Source organism: Homo sapiens, chromosome 19, assembly GCF_000001405.40.
Source record: "Homo sapiens chromosome 19, GRCh38.p14 Primary Assembly".
Classification (NCBI taxonomy): Eukaryota; Metazoa; Chordata; class Mammalia; order Primates; family Hominidae; genus Homo; species Homo sapiens.
Window position 1 is genome coordinate 52,556,682 of NC_000019.10, and position 20,771 is coordinate 52,577,452.

At 45.7% G+C, this 20,771-nt stretch overlaps 2 protein-coding genes and 1 pseudogene across 15 annotated transcripts in view, besides 5 other annotated features; all 3 read left to right on the forward strand.

The window, feature by feature from the left end:
* ZNF808 (zinc finger protein 808) overlaps window positions 1-12,072 on the forward strand; it is a 41,086-nt gene extending 29,014 nt beyond the window's left edge. The window contains exon 6 of the transcript XR_002958314.2: window positions 6,637-12,072. The gene's annotated coding sequence lies outside the window, so the exon portion shown is untranslated. The remainder of the gene's footprint in view (window positions 1-6,636) is intronic.
* Window positions 1,703-2,314: an enhancer, noted in NCBI's record as "OCT4-NANOG-H3K27ac-H3K4me1 hESC enhancer chr19:53061637-53062248 (GRCh37/hg19 assembly coordinates)". NCBI's record gives its function as "activates a minimal SCP1, AML or CMV promoter by ChIP-STARR-seq in naive and primed H9 embryonic stem cells {active_cell/tissue: H9 hESC(naive and primed)}" and the evidence as "EXISTENCE:reporter gene assay evidence [ECO:0000049][PMID:30033119]".
* Window positions 2,315-2,928: an enhancer, noted in NCBI's record as "OCT4-NANOG-H3K27ac-H3K4me1 hESC enhancer chr19:53062249-53062862 (GRCh37/hg19 assembly coordinates)". NCBI's record gives its function as "activates a minimal SCP1, AML or CMV promoter by ChIP-STARR-seq in primed H9 embryonic stem cells {active_cell/tissue: H9 hESC(primed)}" and the evidence as "EXISTENCE:reporter gene assay evidence [ECO:0000049][PMID:30033119]".
* On the forward strand, window positions 7,342-7,744 carry RPL39P34 (ribosomal protein L39 pseudogene 34; annotated as a pseudogene).
* Window positions 12,206-12,815: an enhancer, noted in NCBI's record as "H3K27ac-H3K4me1 hESC enhancer chr19:53072140-53072749 (GRCh37/hg19 assembly coordinates)". NCBI's record gives its function as "activates a minimal SCP1, AML or CMV promoter by ChIP-STARR-seq in naive H9 embryonic stem cells {active_cell/tissue: H9 hESC(naive)}" and the evidence as "EXISTENCE:reporter gene assay evidence [ECO:0000049][PMID:30033119]".
* Window positions 13,606-20,771, forward strand: part of ZNF701 (zinc finger protein 701) — a 29,863-nt gene continuing 22,697 nt past the window's right edge. For 4 of the 14 annotated variants that reach the window (XM_047439071.1, XM_047439072.1, XM_047439074.1 and 1 more), the window contains exons 1-3: window positions 15,559-15,687; window positions 17,396-17,481; window positions 19,214-19,340. In XM_047439071.1, coding sequence (XP_047295027.1) covers window positions 15,561-15,687; window positions 17,396-17,481; window positions 19,214-19,340 — 340 coding nt within the window. In that variant the 5' untranslated portion in view covers window positions 15,559-15,560. The other 10 variants (XM_047439077.1, XM_047439076.1, NM_001433681.1 and 7 more) reach the window with 9 other exon arrangements.
* Window positions 13,625-13,874: an enhancer, noted in NCBI's record as "active region_15051". NCBI's record gives its function as "activates an Ori minimal core promoter by ATAC-STARR-seq in GM12878 lymphoblastoid cells {active_cell/tissue: GM12878}" and the evidence as "EXISTENCE:reporter gene assay evidence [ECO:0000049][PMID:35858748]".
* Window positions 14,035-14,643: an enhancer, noted in NCBI's record as "H3K27ac hESC enhancer chr19:53073969-53074577 (GRCh37/hg19 assembly coordinates)". NCBI's record gives its function as "activates a minimal SCP1, AML or CMV promoter by ChIP-STARR-seq in naive H9 embryonic stem cells {active_cell/tissue: H9 hESC(naive)}" and the evidence as "EXISTENCE:reporter gene assay evidence [ECO:0000049][PMID:30033119]".

Here is a 20,771-nt window from a genome sequence, read left to right on the forward strand (position 1 = left end):
CAGGAGGTGGAGCTTGCAGTAAGCCCAGATAGCACCATTGCAACTCCAGCCTGGGAGACAGAGTGAGACTCCGTCTATTAAAAAAAAAAATTATAAATAAAAAAATGTATTTTAACCAGTTAGTCTGGTTTTCAGTTTCCTTTCCTTATGTCATTTGTTAAAATCTTCAGCTGGGAGCTATTTATTGCGTGTTTCTCTCAAGGCCCTCTGGACCATTCTGGAAAAATGTTGAAACATGGGCTGGAGTGGCATAGAATGCTCCTCCAAAAGCACCCATGTATTCTTTTGCTTTGTTTGTTTGTTTTTTTTTAAATGGAGTCTCGCTCTGTCGCCTTGGATGGAGTGCAGTGGTGCGATCTCAGCTCTGCAACCTCTGCCTCCCGGCATCAAGTGATTCTCCTGCCTCAGTCTCCTGAGTAGCTGAAATTACAGGCACCTACCAGCACACCTGGCTAATTTTTATATTTTTAGTAGAGACAGGGTTTCACCATGTTTGTCAGGCTGGTCTCAAACTCCTGACCTCGTGATCCGCCAGACCTGGCCTCCCAAGGTGCTGGGATTACAGGCATGAGCCACCGTGCCCCGCCTCTTTTTTTTTTTTTGAGATGGAGTTTTGCTCTTGTTGTTCAGGCTGGAGTGCAATGGTGCGATCTGGTGTCACTGCAACGTCTGCCTCCCGGGTTCAAGGCATTCTCCTGCCTCAGCATACCGAGTAGTTGGGATTACAGGTGCCCTCCACCACTCCCGGCTAATTTTTTGCATTGTTAGTAGAGACAGGGTTTTACCATGTGGGCCAAGCTGGTCTCGAACTCCTGACTTCAGGCGATCTGCCGACCTTGCCCTCCCAAAGTGCTAGGATTACAGGCGTGAGCCATCGTGCCTGAAGACTCATGTATTCTTGATTGAAATAATTTGCTTATGTCTCAGTTCTACAGTTGACCTTCTTTCACTGTTTTCAAGGTCAATAGCTGTGTGTTCACACTTCTGCATTTTATAAATGTTACTGTGATTTTCTTGTAAGGAAGAATTAACTGTCGGGAATCAATGTCATCAGAATCTTGCAAAAGAAGTTTCTTTAGCATAGGTATGCGTAAGATGCTTCTCTGATTTTCAAGGATGTGGGTGATAAGACCAACCCCTCCCATTAGCCCTTCCAGGCCCCCATGTAAGACTTCACACACACCTTCTCACTCATCTCAGACCTTGTCAGTGTAACTTGGTGAAAATGTGAGCCTCCCTGCAACTTGGCGATGAGGGGCTTCACCAGAAAAGCTCAGCCCGAGTGACTCTGACCCCTGAAATGACTGGCAAAATGGAGTGCGCGTCTAGGTGTGGCTTTTTTTTTTTTTTTTTTTTTTTTTTTGAGGGTAGGAGTGCCCAGTTGTAATTAGAATTTTCTTTCTTTCTTTTTTTTTTTTTTTTGAGACAGAGTCTCGCTCTGTTGCCCAGGCTGGAGTGCAGTGGCGCAATCTCGGCTCACTGCAAGCTCCGCCTCCTGGGTTCACGCCATTCTCCTGCCTCAGCCTCCGGAGTAGCTGGGACTACAGGCGCCCGCCACCGCGCCTTGTATTTTTAGTAGAGGCGGGGTTTCACCCTGGTCTCGATCTCCTGACCTCGTGATCCGCCTGCCTCGGCCTCCCAAAGTGCTGGGATTACAGGCGTGAGCCACCGCGCCCGGCATCTGAACTTTGTTTTATTTATTTTTTTTGAGACAGAATCTCACTCTGTCACCCAGGCTGGAGTGCAGTGGTGTGATCTCGGCTCACTGCAACTTCCACCTCCCAGGTTCAAGCGATTCTTGTGCCTCAGCCTCCCGAGTAGCTGGGACTATAGGCGTGTGCCACCACGCCCAGCTAATTTTTATATTTTTAGTAGAGACAGAGTTTCACCATATTGGCCAGGCTGGTCTTGAACTCCTGACCTCGTGATCCGCCCGCCTCGGCCTCCCAAAGTGCTGGGATTACAGGCATGAGCCACCATGCCTGGCAGCATCTGAACTTTTAATGACTTGGAATTGTGGGGAAAAGAGAGAGATCAGACTGTTACTGTGTCTATGTAGAAAGAAGTAGACATAAGAGACTACATTTTGTTCTGTACTAAGAAAAATTCTTCTGCCTTGAGATGCTGTGAATCTGTAACCCTAGCCCCAACCCTGTGCTGGCAGAAACATGTGCTGTGTCAACTCAAGGTTAAATGGATTAAGGGCTGTTCAGGATGTGCTTTGTTAAACAAATGCTAGAAGACAGCGTGCTTGTTAAAAGTCATCACCACTCCTTACTCTCAAGTACCCAGGGACACAGAACACTGCGAAAGGCCGCAGGAACCTCTGCCTAGGAAAGCCAGGTATTGTCCAAAGTTTCTCCCATGTGATAGCCTGAGATATGGCCTCATGGGAAGGGAAAGACCTGACCATCCCCCAGCCCAACACCCGTAAAGGGTCTGTGCTGAGGAGGATTAGTAAAAGAGGAAGGCCTCTTTGCAGTTGAGGTAAGAGGAAGGCATCTGTCTCCTGCTGGTCCCTGGACAATGGAATGTCTCGGTGTAAAGCCCAATTGTATATTCCATCTACTGAGATAGGAGAAAACTGCCTTAGAGCTGGAGGTGAGACATGCTGGAGGCAGTACTGCTCTTTAAGGCATTGAGATGTTTATGTATATGCACATCAAAAGCACAGCACTTTTTCCTTTACCTTGTTTATGACAGAGACATTTGTTCAGGTTTTCCTGCTGACCCTCTCTCCACTATTACCTTATTGTCCTGCCACATCCCCCTCTCCGAGATGGTAGAGATAATGATCAATAAATACTGAGGGAACTCAGAGGCCGGTGCAGGCGCGGGTCCTCTGTATGCTGAGTGCTGGTCCTGTAGGCCTACTTTTCTTTCTCTGTACTTTGTCTCTATGTCTCTTTCTTTTCTCAAATCTCTCCGTTCCACCTGACGAGAAATGCCCACAGGTGTGGAGGGGCAGGCCACCCCTTCAGGAATGGAATGGAAAGTGAAGATACACGTCAGTGGTACAGGGTGCTTTATCACATCATTGATTTTATTATTTTTTTCTTTTTTTGAGTTGAGTCTCCCTCTATCACCCAGGATGGAGTGCAGTGGTGAGATTTTGGCTCACTGTAGCTTCCACCTTCCAGATTACAGTGATTCTGTTGCCTGAGCCTCTCGAGTAGCTGGGATTAGAGATGCACGCCACCACGCTTGTAACGGCATGATGTGATGTGTGTGCATGAATACATGGATGGATAAGCCCATGGTTTATGTAGAAAACACTTGATTTGCAATAAGGTATATTTTTTATAGTTGTTATGATTGTAAGTATTTTTCATTTTTGTTAACTATCACAATGATGAGTTATTAGTAAGGATTGGCCGGGTGAGGTGGCTCACGCCTGTAATCCCAGCACTTTGGGAGGCCCAGGTGGGTGAATCACAAGGTCAGGAGTTTGAGATCAGCCTGGGCAAAATGGTGAAATGCCATCTCAACTAAAAATTAGCCAGGCCTGGTGGCAGGTGACTGTAATGCCAGCTACTCGGGAGGCTGAGGTAAGAGAATTGCTTGAACCTGGGTGGAAGAAGTTGCAGTGAGCCAAGATTGTGCCACTGCACTCCTGCCTGGGTGATAGAGTGACACTCCTTCTCAAAAAAAAAAAAATTAAAAAACGTCATAATTATTAATATTATTATTATTACAGGCATGAGCCACTGTGCTTGGCCTGCCTCTGTTTTCACAGACACATCTCTTCATACTCAGCCAAGGGATCCTTCTTCACATCCATGGTCTCTACATTGCTGTACTCCTCGTAGACTTTACTCATTTTTTTTGTGTGTATGAAATTCTGGAATCTACACAAGGCATATTTTTGAGTATATGCTTGAAACTAGAAATCAGAGGCCATTTTACCTAAGAGATGTAAAACTGCTTTCACCTCAGGCCACCATACTGCTGATTTTTTGGATCTTGTTCATTCTTGTCCCTTGCCCATATTGTAATTTGCATAGTTAACCTTGGGTCAGTATTTTACCATTTGCTAAATTAGTTCCATTTTCCTCCAAGCTCAAAACTTGGTCTATCCCAGTGGAATTATATTCCCACAGATGTGCATGCACAAAGTTCACTCCTACGTGCCCATTCCTGCCCTCCACCCTTGCCCTCCTTTTCCTGGCCTTGCTTCACATGGTACATTGATTTGGATGCAAAATACTGTTGCTTTCCAGCCTATTGATTTTGTAATAGTGAACACCCCAATTTCCCCATGAGCCCCTCCCCTCCAACACTACTCTCACTGAGTAAGTCAAGACCTTATTCATCCACTGGACAAAATTATAGGAGGCCGCTTAAATCAGTGTGTGCAGGGCATCATGACTCAGCACATGATCCATGAGGGATGGCTTCAGAACCACTGTCAGCAGCGCAGCTCAGCGCTTGTGTCCCAGCTCAGCCCTTGTATCCCCCTTGATGTACTTCTATCTGTTCTCTCTCTCTCTCTCTCTCTCTCTCTCTCTCTCTCTCTCTCTCTCTCTCTCTCTATATATATATATATATATATATATATACACTTTTTTTATTATACTTTAAGTTCTAGGGTACATGTGCACAACGTGCAGGTTTGTTACACATGTATACATGTTCCATGTTGGTGTGCTGCACCCATTAATTCATCATACTTCTTTCTGTTCTTGTATTTTCTGTGACTGGTCATTTTCTGTACTTTCTTGGCAGACTACTGTGCTTAAAAACATGGGATCCTTCAGGCCCATGATCAAGTTTGTCCCTCACTTAGCGTATGTGCAAATTGGGGTCATGTACATGAACACACTGGCCTGCTGTACTTATTTGAGAAATAATGTTAATTTGCCTCCAGATTTTTTTTTTTTTTTGAGACGGAGTTTCGTTCTTGTTTCCCAGGCTGGAGTGCAATGGCGCAATCTCGGCTCACCGCAACCTCTGCCTCCCAGGTTCAAGCGATTCTCCTGCCTGAGGCTCCCAAGTAGCTGGGATTACAGGCGTGTACCACCACACCCAGCTAATTTTGTATTTGTATTAGAGATGGTGTTTTTCCATGTTAGTCAGACTGCTCTCAAGCTCCCGACCTCAGGAGATCCACCCGCCTCGGTCTCCCAAAGTGCTGGAATTACAGGCATGAGCCACGGTGCCTGGCTGCCTCCAGGGTTTTAAAACAAATTAATGCTATTAGATGGCTTCACATATTGCAGGTTTTATGCTACAGGCTCTAAACTTCCTTTGTGTAATAAGATATGTCAGCCTTCCCTGATGTTGATGATGGCATGCTCCTTTTCCTGTCTCCCTCATTTCACTGTCCTGTTAGAAATAGCTTAGACTGGCTGGCCACAGTGGCTAACACCTCTAATGCCAGCACTTTGGGAGGCCAAGGTGGGTAGATCACTTGAGGTCCAGAGTTTGAGACCAGTCAGGTAATCTCAGCACTTTGGGAGGCTGAGACTGGTGGATCACCTGAGGTCAGGAGTTTGAGAGCAGCCTGGCCAACATGGTGAAACCCTTTCCCTACTAAAAGTACAAAAATTACCTGGGTGTGGTGTAACATGCCTGAAATCTCAGCTGCATGGGAGGCTGAGGCAGTAGGATCATTTGATCCCTGGAGGTGGAGGTTGCAGTGAGCCAAGATCATGCCATTGCACTCTAGCCTGGGCAACAAGAGAAAAACTCCATCTCAAAAATAAAGAAAGAAAGAAAGAAAAAATATAAATAAAAGCACCAGTCTTATTCATATGTAGTCAACACCCATGACCAAATTCTCTCAAAGGCCCCATCTGCAGGAACATCCAATTGGAGAATAAGAACTCTGAACATGGCTTTTGGCCAATATGAACACTCAGACCAGGGAGCCTGCATCATATTTTTTATGTTTTTATTGTGCAATTTGTTTTATAAAATGTTTTCTCTGATCCCAGTTTATAAATTTTCCCAGTATACAGTCTGTGTTTTATATTTCATGCATAGTGAACTACATAACTAAGGGCAATGCATGTACATAGAATTGCTGTATTGCCTGGCTGTTATATAACTGTAGTTGTGATATCATAATTGAACCCTCTGACACTGTTAGTCAATTCTTTTTTTTTTTGGAGACAGAGTCTTGCCCTGTTACCCAGGCTGGAGTGCAATGGCATGATCTCGGCTCACTGCAACCTACGCCTCCTTGGTTCAAATGATTCTTCTGCCTCACCCTCCAGAGTAGCTGGGATTACAGGTGCCTACCACCGTGCCCAGCTAATTTTTTTGTATTTTTAGTAGAGATGGGGTTTCACCATGTTGGCCAGGCTGGTCTCCAACTCCTGACCCCGTGATCTGCCCTCCTCTGCCCCCCAAAGTGCTGGGATTACAGGCCTGAACCACCGCATCCTGTCGTTAGTCAATTCTTACTCCTTATAATGCTGTGTATTTACTTGAACTCATACATCAGAAGGTAGTGATCTTAAATGTATTTCAGTTCTTATAGTGTGTGCTGGTGGTAAGTAGAAGTTGTGGCTTTTTTCTTAAGAGGGAATTGTTTAGAGGTCTGCTGGCTGTATAAATGTACTTATTATTTCGTTGCTAGTCTTATCATGGGTTACAATATTTTATTAATTAATTTTTATGATTTTACATAAGGCTTTTCAGTAAGTGGTATGCCTGGGAAACATGGTGAGACCCCCGTTTCTGCAAAAAATACAAAAATTAGCTGGGAATGATGGCACATGCCTGCAGTATCAACTACTGTGGAGTCTGCAGTGGGAGGATGGCTTGAGCCTGGGAGGTCAAGACTATAGTGAGCTGTAATCATGCTACTGCACTCCAGCATGGTTGACAGAGCAAGATGCTGTCTAAAAAAGAATACTTATTGTAAAGTTTGGGTACAGGAATAATGAAGTCATTGATAGTTTATGAACAGGCTATGGAGTTGATGCCCAAAAGAAATAAACAGTTTGTAAATGAATAACTTATTTTGAGTTGTGACAAGACAATGTTGAAAGTGATGCATGAAGCGGCAGGCAGACCATCCACATCAGTTTTACAGAAAAAAAGTTAATCTTGTTCGTGCTGCAGTGAAGAGAACAGCAAACAGGAGAAACAATAGTCAGGAATTCAATAATAGCCTGGTTAACATGATGAAACCCCGTCTCTACTAAAAATACAAAGATTAGCTGGGCACAGTGGTGGGCACCTGTAATCCCAGCTACTCAAGAGGCTGAGGCAGAAGAATTGCTTGAACCCGGGAGGCGGAAGTTTCGATGAGCCGGGATCCTGCCGTTGCACTCCAGCCTGGGCAACAAGAGCAAACCTCTGTCTAAAACAAACAAACAAAAAGGTCTAGCCCCCTCTCCTCCTTTGTCTGCCATCATGGTGTGTGCTTGACTCCACTTCTTGTCATGTCTTCTCACAAGACTTTCAGGATTAAGCGGTTTCTGGCCAACAACCAAAAGTAAAATCGTCCGATTTCCCAGTGGATTCGAATGAAAACTGGCAATAAAATCAGGTCCAACTTTAAAAGGAGACATTGGAGAAGAACCAAGCTGGGTCTATAAGGAATTGCACGTGAGATGGCACACATATTTATGCTGTGTGAGCATCATAATCACGTTACTTAAGCTGAAAATGTCACTACCATCTGGAGACTTGGACATGTTTTATTGGGAATATATTTTTTTCTCTCTGAATCTGTTATGAACGCATTGGTTGGGTGGGTTCAGTAATAAACATGTGAGACCTTTCATTTCAAAAAAAAAATTTTAATGACATAATAGATTACCTAAATTTCTGTTTTGCTTTGTTTTGTTTTTTGAGATGGAGACTCCACTCGGTTCAGTGGATCGCACCTGTTGTCCTGGCACTTTGGGAGGCTGAGGTGGGAGGATTGCCTGAGACCAGGAGTTTCCTGGGAATCTTCTCATCTTCCCTAACCCAGTTCATGAAAGACCCTTGGACTTTACTGTTAGGGAAAAAATCTATATAAAACAATATCAGCAGCTGGGAGTGATGGCTCATGCCTGTAATCCCAACACTCTGAGAGGCCAAGGCAGGTGAATCACCTGAGGTTAGGAGTTCAACAACAGCCTGACCAACATGGAGAAACTGTCTGTATTAAAAATACAAAATTAGGCAGGGTGCGATGGCTCACACCTGTAATCCCAGCACTTTGGGAGGCCGAGGCGGGCGGATCACGAGGTCGGGAGATTGAGACCATCCTGGCTAACACGGTGAAACCCCGTCTCTACTAACAATACAAAAAATGAGCCAGGCGCTGTGGCAGGGGCCTATAGTCCCAGCTACTCGGGAGGCTGAGCAGGGAGAATGGCGTGAACCCTGGAGGCAGATCTTGCAGTGAGCCGAGATAGCACCACTGCACTCTGGCCTGGGCGAAAGAGTGAGACTCCGTCTCAAAAAATAAATAAATAAATAAATAAAAATACAAATACAAAATTAGGCGGGCATGGTGGCACATGCCTGTGTAATCCCAGCGACTCAGGAGGCTGAGGCAGGAGAACTGCTTGAACTTGGGAGGCGGAGGTTGCTGTGAGCCAAGATCACGCCAATGCACACCAGCCTGGGCAACAAGAGCAAAACTCCATCTGAAAAAATAAAAAACAATATCAGTGTGTCAAAGCATTATGTCTGTCACAATACTTGTGAAAGGAAAATCAAAATTACTAACCAAAGAGAAAAGTCAAGCTGGGAACTGTGTTAGACAAACCTGCCTCCCATTTTATTCCTAAACAATATAGCTACAAGGACTAAACCAAAAATCTACATACTCCACTCACAAACTGTGGGCCTCAAGATCTCCACCCCAAAATAGTTCTGTTGAATTTCACCCTGGCAATGTAAACTGAGAGCTTATCTTCACAGGTGTAGGAAAGAACCCATCCCTCTGCACACCTGAGTCAAATGTCTGTCTGACTACTTCCCCTGACCTATTTTTTATGTAAAAATTCAGGGTCACTGAGCCAGCCTAAGGCATAAGTGACTATTCCTCCACCCTCTCTCACATATAAATTGTGTATTCAATGAAAGGTTGATCAAAGACTCAAACAATGTGATCATTTGTTATCTCCCTGTGACCTGGAAGCCCGCAATTCCAGTTATTTCACCTTCCCAGATCGAACCAAGGTGTATCTTATATGTATTGATTGATGTCTCATGTCACCCTAAATTTGTAAATTGCAGCCTGAACATCTTGGGCACACGTCATCAGGACCTCCTGAGGCTGTGTCATGGGTGCATTTTAACCTTGGCAAAATAGATTTCTAAATTCATTGAGACCTAGTAGATACTTTTGGATCACAAGCTCATGAACACAGAAAAGATCAAGATAGAATAAGGAAAAAATGAGTATAATGGAAAGCACAAATCAGTTCCAAAATCTCAACTCCTTCATATTTATTCACCATAGGGAAATGCTTTACAACTTTGTGGGATTAGAGTCCATTTGTGAAAGATTTTATATATATATATATAGTTTGTTTTGTTTTGTTTTTTGAGACGGAGTTTCAATCTTGTTGCCCAGGCTGGAGTGCAATGGTGCGATCTCGGATCACTGAAACCTCTGCCTCCCAGGTACTACGGATTCTCCTGTCTCAGCACCCCAAGTAGCTCAGATTACAGGCATGCATCACCATGCCCGGCTAATTCTTTTGTATTTAGTAGAGACTGGGTTTCATTATGTTAGTCAGGCTGGTCTTGAATTCCTGACCTCAGGTGATCCACCTGCCTCAGCCTCCCAAAGTGCTGAGATTACAGGTATGCGCCACTATGCTGGGCCAAAAGATATATTTCTAGTATTAGATTGAAATAAAAACCCATTCTATATAACTTTAGCTAATTTAAAACGCAAATAATAGATAATTACATAGATACACAAAACTTTATAATATTTCACTTAGTATTGCTATTACTATGTTCTTGGGGCAGAAGCTCAGTCTGTCAGATACATTACAAAAGGATGGTGTCTCCATAATTGTGCTTAGGACTCTGGTGCATAAGTGGATAAACTGTTAAACAGGATCCTAGGGGAGCTAGGGTGACAAAGTTCAAGTCCATTAAAACTAGCAACATACATTCCTTACTGCTCACGCATGACTCATGGTCTTAAGATGTTTACAGTTAAGAAAAGCAGCTTAATCATACCTGCAAGGACAAACTCCTACATAAACACAATGTCCAGATGACCCAATATCCCATGACAATGTATGCTTCTAAGCTAATTACAGTCATGCTTTCACGTACTTGCACACTAAAATACCAAGGATAGGTGTTTTTTTTTTTTTGATGGAGCTTCACTTTTGTCATCCAGGCTGGAGTGCAATAGGACAATCTCGGCTCATTGCAACTTCCACCTTCCGGGTTCAAGCGATTCTCCTGCCTCAGCCTCCTGAGTAGCTAGGATTACAGGCATGCACCACCACCCCCGGCTAATCGTTGAATTTTCAGTAGAGACGGGGTTTCATCACGTTCGCAAGGCTGGTCTCGAACCCCTGATCTCAGGTGATGCCCCCACGTCGGCCTTCCAAAGTGCCAGAATTACAGGCGGGAGCCAATGCAACCGGCCAAGGATAGCTTTAAATCAACAAAGTAATAAGTTTTGTTACACTGTCAGCCCACTGGCAGGTAGACATACCTTAGTTTTTACCTAAGCACCTATGTAAGAGAAACTTTAAGAGAAGGCAGTTCCCTTTGTTTTTGAGGTCGCCCTACTGTGTAACTGGTAGTTTTCTTTTTTTTTTCTTTTTTTTTTTAAGACGGAGTCTCGCTCAGGCTTGAGACACCTTGTCCAGCTGTATTTTTTATTATTATTATTATTATTATTATTATTATTATTATTATTATTATTTTGTTTTTGAGACTGAGTTTCACTCTAGTTCCCTGGGCTGGAGTACAATGTCATGATCATGGCTCACCACAGCTTCCATTTTCTGGGCTCAAGCGATTCTCCTGCCTCAGCCTCCGGAGTAGCTGGGACTACAGGCTCATGCCACCACTCCAGGCTAATTTTTATATTTGTAGTAGAGACGGGGTTTCTCTATATTGGTCAGGCTGGTCTCGAACTCCCGACCTCAGGCCATCCGCCGTCCTCAGCCTACCAAAGGGCTGGGATTACAGGCTTGAGCCACCGCGCCCGGCCTGAAGTAGAATATTTTAGAAAGTAATTAAACCTTTTTTCAGCATAATAACCCAGAGATGTACTTCTGAAGGACTTAGAATCTCTTCTTGAAAGGCAAGCAACAAGGGAGATAGTACCTGTAAGTCAGTAGGAAATTAAATATTTCAAACATCAGCTATTTCAAATTTAAAGCTACAGACTTTTAAATAATTCGGAACCTTGAGAGGAACGTGGTCATGCAACCTGAGTCCGGTGGCATGCAGGCGCAACTTCTACAAGTTTTCCTGGCCAGGCATGCAGGCTCAGGCCTGTAATCCCAGCACTCTGGGAGGCTGAGGCGGGCGGATCGCCTGACGTCAGGAATTAGAAACCAGCCTGGCCAACATGGGGAAACCCCGTCTCTACTGAAAATACAAAGCCATTAGCCGGGCATGGTGGCGCACGCCTGTATTTTCAGCTATTTGGGAGGCTGAGGCAGGAGAACTGCTTGAACCCAGGACGTGGAGGTCGTAGTGAGCCGAGATCACATCACTGCATTCCAGCCTGGGCGACAGAGCAGGACGCCTTCCCAAAACAAAACAAAACAAAACAAAATGTGCTATACAATTTAGTTTCCTAATATCAATTTTAAAAAGTTTTCGTGTAAATAATTAGGAAAACTAAGCAGCCCCAGAGATAAGACCTCCTGGCATCATTGTCCCTTCTTATGGAGTGATAATGTAACCTTCCTTGAAGTGTATCACTCCATCACCAGTCAAGCTGCCGCAGCCTATGCACTGGACTTGAATGGAAAATGTGGTGGTTCTGGGAAAGCTTCTCTGTATTTCCTTGTGTGTGTGAAATGTTAATGTCTCTACTTGGGAACGCTGACCCCATTCATTTGGAGTTGAGGTTTCCAGGTGGCTATTCTCATGCTTTGTGTCCAAATAAACTCTATAATTAATAATGTATTCTAAATTTCATTATTTACTGCTGACATCAGTTTCTGTTGGATTGTAGGAGCCTCACCAGAGAGGGCACCTGTCCGCCATGCTGTAAAACTCACACTTGCCAAAAATACATGGGTTAGGGTTTCTCCCCCTCCCTCAGGATGATGCTAGTTAGCTGACACAGATGGTCACCTCCATTACCAAGTAGAGCCAGGATGAATTATGTGTGACCAAGGGTGTTGTCAAGTCCTCTTCCCTGAGGACTGATCAGTGTTTATCTTGAAAACATGTATTTGGGTTGTATAGAACAGTGAAGTTTCTTTCTCTCTTTTCAACCTCTCAACTGTCCTCTATTTCCCATCACATGCTGGTCTAAGGCCTATTTATTAATAAAATAGTTTTTATTTCTTTCTCTGTTATCGTCGTGAAGATGATTTCTCATTTAGGGGAAGATTTTTTTAGTTTTCAATTGTATTTTCTCAACATTTAAGAGCGAAGTGAAGAGTATTTCTTGGGCCAGGCACAGTGGTTCACGCCTGTAATCCCAGCATTTCAGGAGGCCGAGGCAGGCGGATCACTTGAAGTCAGGAGTTCGAGACCAGCCTGGCCAACATGGTGAAACCCCGTCTCTACCCAAAATACAAAAATTAGCCGGGCATGGTGGCCTGTGCCTGTAATGCCAGCTATTCCGGAGGCTGAGGCAGGAGAATCGCTTCAACCCAGGAGGCAGAGGCTGCAGTGAGCCGAGATGTCACCACTGCACTCCAGCCTGAGCGACAGAGAAATACTCCGTCTTAAAAAAAAAAAGAAAAGAAAAAAAAGAAAGTAATAGATCTCTTCCACAAATGTGCTGGGACAATTAACTGGATATCCACATGGAAAAGAATAATGTTGTATCCCTATCTCACACAATCAAAATTTTATTTTAAAAATTAAAAGAGACGATGAGGGGAGCCCTGCGGGAGGGTGTGTTACTTTGTCGCCCAGGCTGGCCTGGACCCCCAGGCTCAGTGATCCTCCCGCCTCTGGCCCTCAGGCTCCCGCCCACCTGGCCGCATTCCTGCTATGTTTAAGCAGTAGGTGGTGACTTCACTCCTCCCTGGCCTGAACACTCCGTCGCGCATCCCAGGCGGAGGCCCTAGGGAAGTCTCTGAAGCTGAGCACAGGGTGGACTCTCCCTCCTGAGTGAATGGAGAATAGAAAGGGAGAGGATTTCTGTTCTGTTCTGTGGGCCGTCAGCATGAAATTGTACGTTCCGCCCAGGCAGGGCTTTGCATTTTACATTCTTGTTTGCATCCCCGTTCCAGACAATTCCAGGGCTTTCGAATCGTGCTTCAGCCTTCCTGACCGCTCTCGCCTCCAAAGCCCGAAAAATAGAGTCGCTGGGAGCGAGGCTGAGAGACGCACAGGTCCCGCCCCGGCCCCGCCCTCTGCCGGTTCTAAAGGGCAAGGTCTCTCCGCCTGGGGCCCCGCCTCTACCTCGATCAGGCCCCGCCCACCTTCTCGTTGGCTCCACCCAGGCCTGGCTTTAGTCCTGTGCGCACACATCCGCGCAGACCAGGAAGCGGATCCCGTGGAGTGAAGGTCGCACCGCGGCGGTGAGTTTTGCTCTGTGTTGTATTAAGTCTGCACTCCCCATATCCCCGGCACTTCCGTACCTGGGACGTGGGGTCACCACAGACCTGTAAATTCTCGCCCATCTTCCTTCAACCAGAGCAAATGCAGACGTTCCCCTGGGAATCCGGAAGTCGCTTCCTTTTGTGTTTAAAGTCGCCCTGAGGCTGTTCCCGTCTCCAGTCTTTCTGCTACAGGGCGCTGTATACACTTCCTATCGCGTAGTTTCTGTGCTCAAAACCGTTTTTTAACTCCTCCCTCCCCGCGCTTTTCAAAGTCCTCACCCGAGATGTGTATTTCCGCCTGGGCGCCTCCCAGTCTCAACCTTTAGGCGCCTGAAGCGCAAACGTCGCGATCCCAGTCTCAGGGAGGCCGAGTTCTCTGCCTGGTGCTGGGATCTTGTGGACCCCACCGAAGGCGTCGTCGCACCCCACCTCCCGCCTCATGCTGGGCCTTGCTGCACCCCAAGTCTCCCCTTAGCAGTCACCACTTTCCTTGAGCCAGCGTTGGGGAGGTGCCAGGGGCCAGTCCTGTGACACGGTGTGTTCTTGCCTGCCTAGCTCCAACCCCTGAAAAATGAGCCTCTCTGGGATGCAGGCGTCTTACTTCAAACCCTCCTGTGATTGTGTGGGCTAAAGAGATCAGGAGACAGAGAGTAGTAGAAAACCTGAGACAGAGAAAAGAAGAATGAGAAAGACCCATAACAGATGGCAAAGTAGAGGATGGGTGAGGGATTTGCCAAGAGACAGCAAAAGTGAAAAAAAAAAGATAAGAAAGCAGGAGGAGAAAAGCAACTGGAGAAATGTAGAGAAAAGCTAGATGTACAGAGAGATGAAGGACAGACAGCAAGGTAGAGAGGGGCAGCAAAGAGGGAGGCTCATCAGAGTGAGAGAGAGAGAGAGAGAGAGGAGGAATTTGGAGCCAGGGCAGACAGAGCAGAGTGGTGCTGGTGGCAAGGAGAACAGAGGGAGAACCACAGCAGGGAGGACGCCTGGGGATCTGGGGTGCTAGAGAGTGGGGACGGGGGGTAAAACAGAGAAGAGAGAATTTAACAGGGAGAGCGGCAGAGATGCAGAGATGGGATAAGAGGCGGAAATATATGGAGATTGAGGACGATCGAAGAATTGGGGAGAAGGAGCAACAAGAGATTAAATAAGACGTGAGGATGGAGCCCAGGTAATTTTTGTATTTTTAGTAGAGACGGGGTTTCACCATGTTGGCCAGGCTGGTCTCGAACTCCTGACCTCAGGTGATCCACCCGCCTCGACCTCCCAAAGTGTTGGAATTACAGGCGTGAGCCACCGCACCTGGCCACCCAAGCATTCTTGATTGAAAAAGTTTGCTTATGTCTTAGTTCTACAGCTGACCCTCTTTCCCTGCTTTTTGTTTGTTTGTTTGCTTGTTTGTTTTGAGATGCACTTTCGCTCTTGTTGCCCAGGCTGGAGTGCAATGGTGTGATCTTGGGTCACCGCAACCCTTTTTGGTTTTTTTTTTGAGACGGAGTTTCGCTCTTGTTGCCCGTGCTGGAGTGCAATGGTGCGATCTCGGCTCACTGCAACCTCCACCTCCCGAGTTCAAGCGAGTCTCCTGCCTCAGCCTCCCTAGTAGCTGGGATTACAGGCATGTGCCACCACACCAGGCTAATTTTGTATTTTTAGTAGAGATGGGGTTTCTCCATATTGGTCAGGTTGGTCTTGAACTCCTGACCTCAGGTGATCTGCCCACCTCGGCTTCCCAAAGTGCTGGGATTATAGGCATGAGCCACCGAGCCCGGCCTACTCACCACCACCTTTACCTCCCGGTTTTAAGCGATTGTCCTGCCTCGGCCTTCCTGAGTAGCTGGAATTACAGGCAAGTGCCACAACATCTAGATAATTTTTGTATTTTTAGTAGAGATGGGGTTTCTCCATGTTGGTCAGGATGGTCTCGAACTCCCGACATCAGGTGATCCGCCTGCCTCGGCCTCCCAAAGTGCTGGGATTACAGGTGTGAGCCACCGCACTCAGCCTCCCTGTTTTGAAGGTAACTAGCTGTGTCTTTGTACATCTGCATTTTATAAATGTTACTGTAATTTTCTTGTGAGGAAGAATTAAATGTTGGGAATCAGTGGCATCAGAACTTGCAAAGGAAGTTTCTTTATCCCAGGTATGTGAAAGAGGCTTCTCTAATTTTCAAGGATAGTTTTGATAAGGCCAACCCTTTCCTTTATCCCTTCCAGGCCACCATGTAAGAATTCCGTTACATCTTTTCACTCATCTCAGACCTTCTCAGCGTGACTCGGTGAAAATGTCCCCGTTCTGAGGATGTCACAGCTAAATCTAAAGCAGATCATGTCAGTCCCTGGCAGGGAACCCTCCATGGGCTTCCTGTGTTCCCCAGGACAAAAGCCCAACTCCTCACTGTCACTCCACAGCCCTGTGTCCAGGGCCCCTGCCACTGTCCAGGCTCCTCCTGGGAACTTGCCCTCATCTCATGACTCCCTCTGCCCCAGTCACATTTGCTTTTCTCTTTTCCCAAACATCAAAACCCTTCCCGTCTCAGGTCATTTTCACTGCTCTTACCCTATTTCTCTAAATGCTCACAGCACTGTCCCTTTCTCCTTCAGGTCCTGGCTCAGAAATGTCTCCCATGCCCTCCCACCCCCAACTGAATTTCCCTCTGCCCATCAGTCTCTATCACATTACTCAGGTTTTATTATCTCTGTGTCAGTCACATCAGAAACACACTTTTTTTCTTTTTCCAAAGAGTCTCGCTCTGTCCTCCAGGCTGTGAGTGCAGTCTTGTGATCTTGGCTCACTGCAACCTTTGTCTCCTGAGTTCAAGCAATTCTTGTGCCTTAGTCTCCCAAGTAGCTGAGATTACAGGTGTGTGCCACCATACTCTGCTAATTTTTGTATTTGTATTTTATTTTATTTTTGAGTCTTACTCTGTTGCCCTGGCTGGAGTCCAGTGGTGCGATCTTGGCTCACTGCAACCTCCACCTTCCAGGTTCAAGCGATCCTCCAACCTCAGCCTCCCGAGTAGCTGGGCTTACCAATGCCCACCAAGCCCAGCTACTTTTTGTATTTTTAGTAGATATGGGGTTTCACCATGTTGGCCAGGCTGCTGTTGAACTCCTGAACTTGAGTAATCCTCCCACCTCAGCCTTCCAGAGTGCTAGTATTACAGGCATGAACCACCGCACCCAGCCCCAATTTTTGTGTTTTTAGTACAGACAGGTTTTCACCATGGTGGCCAGGCTGGTCTCAAACTCCTGAGCTCTACTGATCCTCCCCCTCAGCTTCCTAAGTAGCTGGGACCAGAGACACACAGACGTGCACCACCATACCTGGCTAAGTTTTTGTATTTTTGGTAGAGATGGGGTTTCACCATGTTGCCCAGGCTGGTCTCAAACTCCTGAGCTCAAGCGATGTACCCACCTTGGCTTCCCAGAGCGGTGGGATGACAGGCATGAGCCACCGCACCGAGCCTCTGCATGGGATTTGGTCAGGGCTGGGTCTGTGCCCTGAAAGGGAGCTCATTCCAGCCCAGCTCCCCACTGCTGCAGCGTGTGAGGGCTTCTCCAGGAGGGAAGCGAGAGTTTTCTTATAGAAATTTATTATCCCTGGTGCAGTGGGCAGCAGAGGTGACCATATTTTTTCAGAGTGAGGGCACCTTTGTATGTGTCATTGTGTTACAGGCAGGAGGTGTGTTGATTCTGAGCAGTAAACAACATATTTCTAACATTCAGGATTGACTTCTAAAGACTTGGTACGTGAGGAAAAAACACGGAAGAGGAAGAGGAAAGCAAAGGAGTCAGGGATGGCTCTTCTTCAGGTGAGATGATATTCTCGGGGGATTGTTCTGTCTCCTTCCTTTCAGAAATGCTGATCTTGGAGTTGGGAATCTTCTCTGAGTCTCAAGTGTCCTGCCTGACAGGTTTGCTCACACTCAACTCATGCCTTCCCTCAGTCCCTGTCATCTCACTTAGATTCCATCTCTTGTGACTGAGTGACATGAACTTGGGAAGAGGCTGCACTGGGCATGGTCCTGGGAAGGGCTCACACCCAGACATGTATGGAGATGGGGTGAGGGTCCCGCAGTGTCAGTGCTGTTGGGCAGCAGGGATTGTTCAGGGGCCACATCTGGATGCACTGTCAACTCTCTGTGGACCAGGATTAGAGCAGCTGCCAATGGAAGTGACCTATTAATGTGCACAAAGTACGTGGTAAATTCTAGAAAAGGAGACCAATAAGGGAAAATCTTTTCTCCCTAATTTTATACCACATTTTTAGGTAATTGAGTGAGTTACTGTGTTTCTGACTCAAAAAATTGTACTAATTAGAATGGAAAGTTCATAAACAGACATGAATGATACAGGGGTTTTATTCCATCCTTATTTAAAGAATATGAAATCAACCTAAATAATAGCAGGAGATTTATTAAACCATTCTTAGCAAATTAAGCTGATGGAGACAGTGGTGTTACTGTGGAGAGGCTTTTGAAACAGGTGTTTTTTGTAAAAATGGTTACAATTTTTCTCAAATATGGGAGCAGTACTTGCAGCTGCCAAATTATCCTTTTCCACCAAGATGAGATTCCTCTTCAGTTAAACAAAATTTGCATATATATATATATTTGTGTTTGTTTGTTTGTTTTTTCGAGACGGAGTCTCGCTCTGTTGCCCAGGCTGTAGTGCAGTGGCACGATCTCCGCTCACTGGAAGCTCCGCCTCCCAGGTTTACACCATTCTCCTGCCTCAGCCTCCTGAGTAGCTGGGACTACAGGCACCCCCCACCACGCCCGGATAATTTTTGTATTTTTTAGTAGAGACGGGGTTTCACCGTGTTAGCCAGGATGGTCTCGATCTCCTGACCTTGTGATCCACCCGCCTCAGCCCCCCAAAGTGCTGGGATTACAGGCATGAGCCACTGTGCCTGGCCTACTTTTTGTATTTTTAAAACCTTTATATATATACACACAACCCCATACATATACACACACATATATACATACACATACATATATACACACACACATATGTATATATTTTGAAAATCTGAGACAAATGACAACACTTTGTATTAACGTGGTTTTTTGTGAGTGTGTGTAGGTTTTATTTTTTTTTTAACATATACAAAATAGAATTTTGTACTTCGATTAATTTTATTTTCATGTATTTTATTTTATTTTGAGAGAGAGTCTTGCTTTGTTGCCCAGGCTAGAATGCCTTGGTGCAATCGCAGCTCACTGAAACCTCCACCATCAAGGTCAAGCCGTCCTCCCACCTCAGCCTTCCAAGTAGTTGGGACAACAGATGCCTGCCACCATACCCGGCTAATTATTTATTTCTAACGTAAGCAATTCATACTGAGAGGGTATCCTGAGCTCTTCAGAAAGTATAATCAAACACCACTGGGAAGACATCATGTGGTGAAGAATCCCTTACTTGGATTTGTCGGAACATTCTCTGCAATTAAATCCATGCTTTCCCCTCTCCTCTTCTCATTTTCTGTAAAGATAAGATCTCCTCCCATAACCATTTGCTTAAAATGTGTTTTCCTTTCAGGGTCTACTGACATTCAGGGATGTGGCCATAGAATTCTCTCAGGAGGAGTGGAAATGCCTGGACCCTGCTCAGAGGACTCTATACAGAGACGTGATGCTGGAGAATTATAGGAACCTGGTCTCCCTGGGTGAGGATAACTTCCCTCCAGAAGTGGGGATGTGCCCTTGTGGATCTTTGTATTTTCTCTTGTTGCCTCTTGGGAGCCACATCCTTGCTTGGCTAAAATGGAAGCCGTATTGAGTTAGAAATGAAAAGCTTCATGATGTAGCATCTGGACTTTCACTGTCCCCTTTAGATGTTCTGCATTCTTCATGATAGCTCAGTGGGGGTTCCAGAAGTAAAGTAAGCATAAAAGCTTATGGCAGGCCAGGCGTGGTGGCTCACACCTGTCATCACAGCACTTTGGGAGGCTGAGGCGTGTGGATCACTTCAGGTCAGGAGTTCAAGACCAGCCTGGCCAACATGGAGAAATCCCGTCTCTACTAAAAACACAAAAATTAGCCGGGCGTCGTGGTGCATGCCTGTAATCCCAGCTCCTAGAAAGGCTGATGAAAGAGAATCGCTTGATCCCGGCAGGCCAAGGTTCCAGTGACTGAGAACACACCACTGGACTCCAGCCTGGGCAACAGAGCAAGACTCTCTCTCAAAAAACAAAAAAACAAAACCTTATGGCAGACTTTAATCATATCCAGTTTCCTGTTTGCTTTTCCTGTGCTTTCGATTCAGTAGTTCTTGGAAGAGAGCTTGATGTCCACATATTACATGTTACAGTGCTCTCCAAGCATTCAGAAGGAGGCAGTCAGTGGAGCAATTAGTAAAATATTTTCCTAGATCCACCTGTAATGTCTTCTTTCCTACAGAAATATAGGGCTGGGACTCTACAAAAGCTCCAGCACGTCTTAGTACTTTCTTTTTATAAGCAGGAGTCTCATGCTGATATGTTATCTCCATGTTGGAGCAAGAGAAAGGGCCCTGGACTGTGGAGAGTGAAGTGAAAATATCAAAAAACTCCAGATGGGTGGGAATGTATTATAGGTGTAAATGCAGGTAAGAGCTCAGATGGGCAGAGTGGAAGCTCCACCTTCAAATAGTGTGTGGGGAAACTCTGCAAGTGGGAGAATTCTGTTGGAAAAGGAAAGTTTCAATCCTGAGATCTCTGAAATGACATCTTTCTTTGCCCCCACTTATCCCTCTGCTCTTCCTTTCTTTCTTTTTCTTATTTTATGAAAGAGTCTCACTGTGTTGCCCAGGCTACAGTGCAGTGATACGATCTTGGCTAACAGCAGCCTCCACCTCCCAGGCTCAAAGGATTTTTGTGTCCCAGCTTCCTGAGTAGCTGGGACTGTAGGCGCTCACCACCATGCCCAGCTAATTTTTGTGTTTTTAGTAGAGACAGGGTTTCACCATGTTGGCCAGCCTGGTCTCAAACTCCTGATCTCAAGTGATCCACCTGCCTTGGCTTCCCAAAGTGTGGACCTAAGATTACCTAGGTGCCAAGGCAAGAGACTGAAGGCACAAAGTGTTTCAGTATAATAAAGAAAATAGTTACAATAAGAAG